This window comes from Homo sapiens, chromosome 14 (genome assembly GCF_000001405.40).
Source record: "Homo sapiens chromosome 14, GRCh38.p14 Primary Assembly".
NCBI lineage: Eukaryota > Metazoa > Chordata > Mammalia > Primates > Hominidae > Homo > Homo sapiens.
Genome location: NC_000014.9, coordinates 34,484,925 through 34,491,583, shown reverse-complemented (window position 1 = coordinate 34,491,583; position 6,659 = coordinate 34,484,925). Strand labels below are relative to the sequence as shown.

At 47.0% G+C, this 6,659-nt stretch overlaps 1 pseudogene; it reads right to left on the bottom strand.

Annotated features, from left to right (window-relative positions):
- RPL23AP71 (ribosomal protein L23a pseudogene 71) lies at positions 5,092–5,618 on the bottom strand (annotated as a pseudogene).

The following is a 6,659-nucleotide window of genomic DNA, read 5'->3' as shown; positions in this document are numbered from 1 at the left end:
GCAGGTGCTCCAGGGGAGGGGTGTGCTAGGGCCTGTGTCCTTGTTCAGGGAGAAAGGGGTGCTTGGGGCCTGAAGGAAGTAACAAAGGCAGCATGAAGGAGGAGACAGTGGAGCTAATCCTTAACAGATGAGCTGGAATTCACCAGGAGGACTCAGGTGCTGCCCGGCACAGGGAAGTGAGAAAGAACGTGTTCCACAGAGAGGAGTCATAATTCAGTGTGCCTGGTGGGGAGAGGCCAGAGTAAAAGCATGAAGAACCTTGCCTATCCTACTGAGATGACGAAAAATCATAGAAAGGTTCTAGGAAGATACACTCAGGCAGCAGTGAAGGAAGATAGGGTTAGAGGACAAGAGAGGAAGATGAGGTATGAGGCTAATGAAGCTCATTGCACAACAAGGGTGTGGGGAGGCTCTGTGGGAGGTGCCTGAGGGGAACAGGTACACCTTCCCCACTGATTCCTAGAGGGAGTTGAAAAGCTGTTGTTTTTCAACAATACAGGTGCGGGTGGCTCACGCCTGTAATCCTAGCACTTTGGGAGGCCAAGGCAGGCGGATCACCTGAGGTCAGGAGTTTGAGACCAGTCTGGCTAATATGGCGAAACCCCATCTCTACTAAAAATACAAAAATTGGCCAGGCGCGGTGGCTCATGCCTGTAATCCCAGCACTTTGGGAGGCTGAGGTGGGTGGATCACGAGGTCAGGGGTTTGAGACCAGCCTGAACAACATGTTGAAACCCTGTCTCTACTAAAAATTAGCTGGGCGTGGTGGTGGGCGCCTGTAATCCCAGCTACTCAGGAGGCTGAGGCAGGAGAATTGCTTGAACCCGGGAGGCAGAGGTTTCAGTGAGCCGAGATCACGCCACTGCACTCCAGCCTGGGCAACAGAGCGAGACTCCGTCTCAAATAAAAAAAAAAACCAAAAAACAAAAATTAGTTGGGCGCGGTGGTGCATGCATGTAATCCCAGCTACTCAGGAGGCTGAAGCAGAAGAATTGCTTGAACCCAGGAGGCAGAGGTTGCAGTGAGCCGAGATTGCGCCACTGCACTCCAGCCTGGGTGACAGAGCAAGATTCTGTCTCAAAAAGAAAAAAACAACAAAACAAAACGAAACAAAAACAAAAACCAAACAAACAAAAAAATTGTTGTAACTCTCAGAAATGTGTTAGAACTATCTGGGCCGGGCGCGGTGGCTAACGCCTCTAATCCCAGCACTTTGGGAGGCCGAGGAGGGCGGATCACGAGGTCAGGAGATCGACACCATCCTAGCTAACACAGTGAAACCCCGTCTCTACTAAAAAATACAAAAAATTAGCCAGGCGTGGTGGCGGGCACTTGTAGTCCCAGCTACTCAGGAGGCTGAGGCAGGAGAATGGCGCGAACCTGGGAGGCGGAGCTTCCAGTGAGCCGAGATCCAGCTTGGGTGACAGAGCGAGACTCCACCTCAAAAAAAAAAAAAAGAAAGAAAGAAAGAAAAGTGTTAGAACTATCCAATATGAGAACTGTATGTATGTATGTGTGCGTGTGTGTATATATATATATATATATATATATATATACACACACGCACACATATACATATGTATATACATGGTTCCCATATACATATATATGGTGAAATATATATACATACATATATATGGTGAAATATACATATATATACATATATATACATATATATACCATATATATACATGGTGAAATATAACCCACAGTTCCACGTGCTCTTCGAGAGCGTAACAATTACACATTTTTCATCAAGGTGGAAAATGACGAACTAGTTTCCACCACCCTCCACCTAACCAAAACACAGGCTGCACCTTTGGCTCATCCAGGTGAGAACCAGTGGTTAACCTAAGATATGGCCTGGGAAGAAAGGAGAGAGGTGGCCAGGACAGTGGAGTCATCCAATGGCTAGGGAATGGTTATATATCTTGGTCAGTAATCTAAAGTGAAGGTAGAGGCAGAGGGAGGAGTCTAGGAGAATTCCTATACTTCTGGCTTGGTCACTAACTTTTGAAATTGCCTTTTGAGTTCCTGTATGGGCCAAGATCAGTTTCATGACTTTATCATGAGAAACGTTTCATGACTTTTTTTTGCACATTCAAGAGAACATGAACCAGTTTGGTAACCTACATGAATCATCAGATTATTCTCTAACTGACTTTGGGATATTTATAAAAAAGGACCTACTTTCAAAGGACAAGATTTGCCACCAGTAAGGATTTGTAAGAGAACATGCCCATGCTCTGTCCCTTTTTTCAAAAAATGTTTTCTTCTCTCGTGGAAATGGGAAAACATTTCTTAATTGGAAAAATGTAGTCAAAACTCAGCCTTTGACTTAGCCAAGGGGCTTGCCATTCTGAAGAGGCCGGGACCTTTCGAGTCCTGGATGTCTCTGGCTCATGCAGTTTCCTCTGTCTGGAATGTCTCCACATGGCCCCCTCCTCACATTTCCAGCTCTAGGCTGGGGAATCCTACACACCCTTCAAGGCCCATGTTAAATGTCATCTCTTCTATCAGGCCTTCCTAACACCCAGACATTTCAGGCAGAAAAAATCCCTGCCTCTTCTGGACTGTTTTCCCTACTAGCCTGCGCATTCTTTTAATGGAGGCCCTCATGCTCATCTCTGAGTTGCCATCATTCACACACCTGCTATACAGCATTTTTGTTTTTTTTGAGACAGCATCTCACTCTACCCAGGCTGGAGTGCAGTGGTGTAATCATAGCTCACTGCAGCCTTGACCTCTTGGGTTCAAGTGACCCTCCTGCCTAAGCCTCTTGGGTAGCTAGGACCACAGGTGTAAGCCACCACACTTGGCTAAATTGTATTTTATTTATTTATTTATTTATTTATTTACTTATTTATTTATTTATTTATTTATTTTTTGCGACGGAGTCTCGCTCTTGTTGCCCAGGCTGGAATGCAGTGGTGCGATCTTGGCTCTCTTCAACCTCCATCTCCTGGGTTCAAGCGATTCTTCAGCCTTAATCTCCTGGGTAACTGGGATTATAGGTGCCCGCCACCACGCCAAGCCAATTTTTGTATTTTTAGAAAAGGCGAGGTTTCACAGTGTTGGGCAGGCTGGTCTTGTACTCCTGACCTCTGGTGATCTGCCCACCTCAGCCTCTCAAAGTGCTGGGATTACAGGCATGAGCCACCGTGCCTGGCCCACACTTGGCTAAATTTTAAATATTTTTTTGTAGAGATAGGGTCTTGCTATATTGTCCAGGCTGGCATTGAACTCTTGGCTTCTAGCGATCCTCCCATATTGGCTTCCCAAAGTGCTGGGATTACAGACATGAGCTGCCATGGCCCAACATAAATGTAATTCCTTTGGTGGAGTTGTGGAGGCTTTGGAAATGTAGTAACTAACGTTCCATCTGTCTGAGAGGGTTGGAACCCAGAGGCCACCATTAGGAGGCTACAGGAAGGTGTCCAGCCTGGGGGTAGAACCTCTTAGCACCTGGCACCGGCAATAGGTAGCCATCGGGGAACACTGAAATGAAGGTAGGGTGAGCTGGGGTTCAAAGCCAGGATAATTGCCTCTGGGAGGCCTGGAAGGGCAAGAGGAGACAGGGACCAAGGCAGGAACTTGGCATGGAGTCAGGGGTGTGGGGAAGGGAAAGGGCTACTGGGATGGTTTAGTTGAGGACTTAGGGATCAGAGATAAGGCATTATCCAAAATGTGAGGAAAAGGTTGGGTGCGTCGGCCAGGCGAGGTGGCTTACACCTGTAGTTCCAGCACTTTGGGAGGCTGAGGCAGGCAGATCACTTGAGGTCAGGAGTTCGAGACCAGGCTGGCCAATAAAGTGAAACCCCATCTCTACTAAAAATACAAAAATTAGCTGGGCGTGGTGGCGCAGGCCTGTAGTCCCAACTACTTGGAAGGGTGAGGCAGGAGAATTGCTTGAACCCAGGAGGTGGAGGTTGCAGTTAGCCAAGATCATGCCACTCCAGCCTGGATGACAGAGTGAGACTCTGTCTCAAAAAAAAAAAAAAAAAAAAAAAAAAAGCTGGGCGCAATGGCTCATGCCTGTAATCCCAGCACTTGGGGATGCCGAGGTGGGTGGATCACAAGGTCAGGAGTTCAAGACCAGCCTGGCCGACATGGTGAAACCCTGTCTGTACTAAAAATATAAAAATTAGCTGGGCGTGGTGGTGGGCACCTGTAATCCAAGCCACTTGGGAGGATGAGGCAGGAGAATCGCTTGAACCCAGGAGGTGGAGGTTGCAATGAGCCAAGATTGTGCCATTGCACTCCAGCCTGGGCAACAAAGAGGGAAACTCCACCTCAGAAAAAAAAAAAAAAAAAAAAAAAAAAGCCTGGGCGTGGTGGCTTATGCCTGTAATCCCAGCACTTTGGAAAGCTGAGGCAGGCGCATCACTTGAGGCCAGGAGTTCGAAATCAGCCTGGCCAACATGGTGAAACCCCATCTCTACTAAAAATACGAAAAAATTTAGCTGGGCGTGGTGGCGCTTGCCTGTGACCCCAGCTACTGGGGAAGCTAAGGCACAAGAATCACTTGAACCTGGGAGGCGGAGGTTCCAGTGAGCCAAGATCATGCCACTGTACTCCAGCCTGGATAACAGAGCAAGACTCTGTCTCAAAATAAATAAATAAATAAATAAATAAATAAATAAATAAATAAATAAAAAAGAGGAAAAAAATCAAGTGATGGGCCGGGCGCCAGTGGCTCACACCTGTAATCCCAGCACTTTGGGAGGCCAAGGCAAGCGGATCACGAGGTCAAGAGATCGAGACCATCCTGGACAACATTGTGAAACCCCATCTCTACTAAAAATACAAAAATTAGCTGGGCGTGGTGGCATGGGCCTGTAGTCGCAGCTAGTCGGAAGGCTGAGGCAGGAGAACCACTTGAACCCGGGAGGCAGAGGTTGCAGTGAGCCGAGATCACACCGCTGCACTCCAGCCTGGGTGACAGTGAGAGACTCTGTCTCAAAAAAAAAAAAAAAAAAAAAAAAAAAAAAAAATCAAGTGATGAGCCAAATTGTTGATGCAGACTCCTGCTGTTACTACATTTTGGAAGAGCAGAGAATCGTTAAATTCCATTAATTTTTTTTTTTTTTTTGGTGAAAAGATACACATATTTAGAATTAGCCAGCTGGACTCAGTTTAGATGATCCCATTTTTTTTTGGCAACATCCAAAACATCGTAATCTGGAGCCAGTTGAACATATGCCTTCTTCTCTCCATCGGGCCGAATCAGGGTGTTGACCTTGGCCGCATCATTGTCAGGGAGCTTCTTCACAGCCTGTTTGATCTGCTGCTTGTTGGCTTTAACATCCACCCTGAACACATATGTGGTGTTGTCTTCTATCTTCTTCATGGCGGACTCAGTGGTCCACAGAAACTTGATGATGGCATAACGGTCAAGCTTGTTTCTCCTGGGGGCGCTCTTCCGAGGATATTTGGGTGGCCTCGAGTCGCAGTGTCCTGGGCCTCTGGAAGGTGGGTGACGTGCGGGTCTTCTTTTTTTGTGGATGTGGACATCTTTCATCACTGCCTTCTTGGCCTTTAAAGCCTTCGCTTTGGCTTCGGCTTTAGGAGGGGCAAGCGCTTCCTTCTTTGCTTTCAACGCCATCTTGTGAAAAGGGCAAATTCCATTAAATTTAAGAAGGAAAACTTAAGCTAAATCTGGAAGAACATGATATAACATAATTTGGACACTTAGAGGCAAGTGGGGAAGAAATTCCAGACATAAAGGTAGGGGCAAGCATGTGGTGTTTATGAATGGAGGGGCCTTTTGTGGATGCGGGGGCCACCAGCATGTGTGGAGACTCTAGTAACCAGGAGATTGCAGTCTGACGGTGGAGATCTTCAAAAGCAAGACAAAGGAGTTCCTACCAGATGCAAAGGAAAACAGGGGCCCTGGGCCAAGCGCGGTGGTTCACTCCTATAATCCCAGCACTTTGGGAGGCCATGGCGGGTGGATCACTTGAGGTTAGGAGTTTGAAACAAGCCTGGCCAACATGGTGAAGCCCCGTCTCTACTAAAAATACAAAAATCAGCTGGGTGTGTTGGCCTGTGCCTGTAAACCCAGCTACTCGGGAGGCTGAGACAGGAGAATCACTTGAACCCAGGAGGTGATGGTTGCAGTGAGCCGAGATCACACCACTGCACTCCAGCCTCAGTGACAGAGCAAGACTGTCTTAAAAAAAAAAAAATGATCAGGTGTGGTGGCTCACGCCTGTAATCCCAGCACTTTGGGAGGCTGAGGCGGGTGGATCATCTGAGGTCAGGAGTTCGAGACCAGCCTGACCAACATGGAGAAACCCCATCTCTACTAAAAATACAAAATTAGCCAGGCATGGTGGTTCATGCCTGTAATTGCAGCTACTCGGGAGGCTGAGAAGAGAATCCCTTGAACCGAGGAGGCAGAGTTTGCAGTGAGCTGAGTTCGCGCCATTGCACTCCAGCCTGGGCAACAAGACAGAAACTCCATCTCAAAAAAATGAAATAAAATAAAATAAAAAATTAAAAAAAAAAAGAAAAGAAAATAGGGGCCCTTATGCTTTGTGAGCAGAAGAATGATAAGGACAGCCATTTGTTAGGGAGGTGGTGTGAGCTGTTGATTGAAGCCTACAGATCCTGGAGTCCTGTAATTGCCAGAAAACTTTGATAATCAAATCAGAGCT